At 60.6% G+C, this 1,894-nt stretch overlaps 1 protein-coding gene across 3 annotated transcripts in view; it reads right to left on the bottom strand.

Annotated features, from left to right (window-relative positions):
- Positions 1-1,894, bottom strand: part of PACS1 (phosphofurin acidic cluster sorting protein 1) — a 174,473-nt gene that overhangs the window by 1,580 nt on the left and 170,999 nt on the right. For all 3 annotated transcript variants that reach the window (NM_018026.4, XM_011545164.3, XM_011545162.2), the window contains exons 22-23: positions 1,512-1,738; positions 134-253 (exon numbers count right to left, since the gene is read on the bottom strand). In NM_018026.4, coding sequence (NP_060496.2) covers positions 134-253; positions 1,512-1,738 — 347 coding nt within the window. The remainder of the gene's footprint in view (positions 1-133; positions 254-1,511; positions 1,739-1,894) is intronic.

Here is a 1,894-nt window from a genome sequence, read left to right as displayed (position 1 = left end):
CTAGGGGTGACAGGAGAGGAGGGGTGACCAGACTGCTCAGGCCATCTCCCCAGGGCCCCTTGGGAAAGGCCATTGCCTGCCTCCCTCTCCAGTCCCTTTCTTGCCCTCCTCCCGGCCCTGCCTGCCCTCGCACCTCTCAGCATAGTCTGCTGCTGCTTGGCTGAGCAGATGAGGCGGCTGATGCCTTCAATGACCTGGCTCTTAGAATCCACCTCCTTTTCTCGGGGTTTCTTGCTCAGGAAGATGGTGGGAACTGGAAAGCAAGCAAGGCCACCTGTGTCCCAGCCCCTGGGGAAGCCGCCACCCCTCTCCTCCCCAGCCGACTGTCCCCTTCTTCCTGTGGCGAGGGGAGGTGATCTGCAAACCAACCCCTCCTCCCTGGCACTGGGCTGTGGGTCAGGATCTTCAGGTTCCTGACTCAGTCCCAGCACTGGGCTGGTGACTTTGGCTAAGGTCCCACTTCTCCCCCTGGGGCTCGATATCTTCGCCTGTTCAGTGAAGACCTTGGTCCAGATGGTCTCTGAAGTCCTTTCCAGCTGGAACGTTCTAGGCAGCCTGTGGGGCAGGGGCCTGCCTCCCTATCAGGCGCATGCTCTATGCAGGAGCCAGTGCAGCATGAGTTTGTCCTCACGCTGTCCTGGGGATGCCGGGGAGTGCTCCCTGTTCCACTCCCACTCCAGAAAGGAAGCAAGGGCAGGGAGGTCACTGCTGAGCAGGCAGCTTCCCCTTGCAAGTTTCTGTGCTGCAGGCCGTGGGTTTTGGCTGTGGGCCTGGCACAGCCCCATGCCTGACCCCCCAGGGGAACTCTGCAGAGGGGAGTCACACACAGAAATAGGCACAGCTGCTTTGCAGCACCCAAAGGAGGCGGGGTTGGGGTCATGCCAGTGCTGCAGGTGCACTACCAGTTGCGGGTCCCCAGCTGGCACCAACGGTGGCAGGCGCTGCCGCAGCACTGGCCCAGCCATGGGGGTTCCTGCCTCACTCCCACGCACAGGAGCCGGGCCAGCTCCAACTCCCCTCCAGCTCCTTAAGCTACCCCTGCTATCCAGAATGGACTGTATGCCCCTTAATCCTGAAAACACAACCACGTCCTTTTGCTCATGAGGCCTCTTTGGAGAGGCCTCCAGGGCTGGGTGCAAGTTCTCTACTCCTGCGTCACAGGGACCTGGAGCTGTGATATAGAGAGGCCTCTCCCTGTCTGCAGTCCATCCCGGACAGCAGTGGCCAGAAAGGCCCCCTTCATTACACAGTGGCAGCTGCCTCAGCCCCTAAAGTACTGGAGCTCAGCAGAGAGTGACCAAGCGACTCTCTGCAGCCTCGGTTTCCTGCATGACAGAAGGAATGGCCTTGTCCCTCGAGGGGAGGTGGGACTGCCCCCTCTGCACCCCATGCCAGACCATGGGATGCTTCTTCATCCCAAATATCCCAAAAGCAGATTTATTCCCAGGCCCTGAGAGACGAGACGGGAGGCCTGGTGGCCCATGGTCTTCCCCGGCCTTGGGGGTACTTACCTTTCTTGTTCTTTTCTTTGGTGACCACAGTCATGGCCATGGTGCCAGAAAGCTGGGCCTCCCCACTATGGGGCAGGCGGGACACCTGCACTGAGCGGAAGACACTCTTGAGGGTGTTCTTCGAGCTGGCGTCCCTCTTGTCGCCTTCCCTCCTCCGCTCCCCGGGGTGGCCCAGCCAGTAGTCCACCTGGAGGCCAATCACGTCCCCATATGGGCTATTAGGGCTCCTGAGGAAAGGGAACAAAGAGGAGAGGTCAGCTCTGCCTTCAGCTCCCAACTACATAGGCCTGATGGGGTAGGGGCCATGCCAGTCCCCGGGAGGGCAGGCTGAGGAAGGCTGCAGCTCTGTTCCCTCCAGCCACACAGAGCAGCTCATGTAGGAG

This window comes from Homo sapiens, chromosome 11 (assembly GCF_000001405.40).
Source record: "Homo sapiens chromosome 11, GRCh38.p14 Primary Assembly".
Classification (NCBI taxonomy): Eukaryota; Metazoa; Chordata; class Mammalia; order Primates; family Hominidae; genus Homo; species Homo sapiens.
This window is presented reverse-complemented; position numbering and strand designations above follow the sequence as displayed.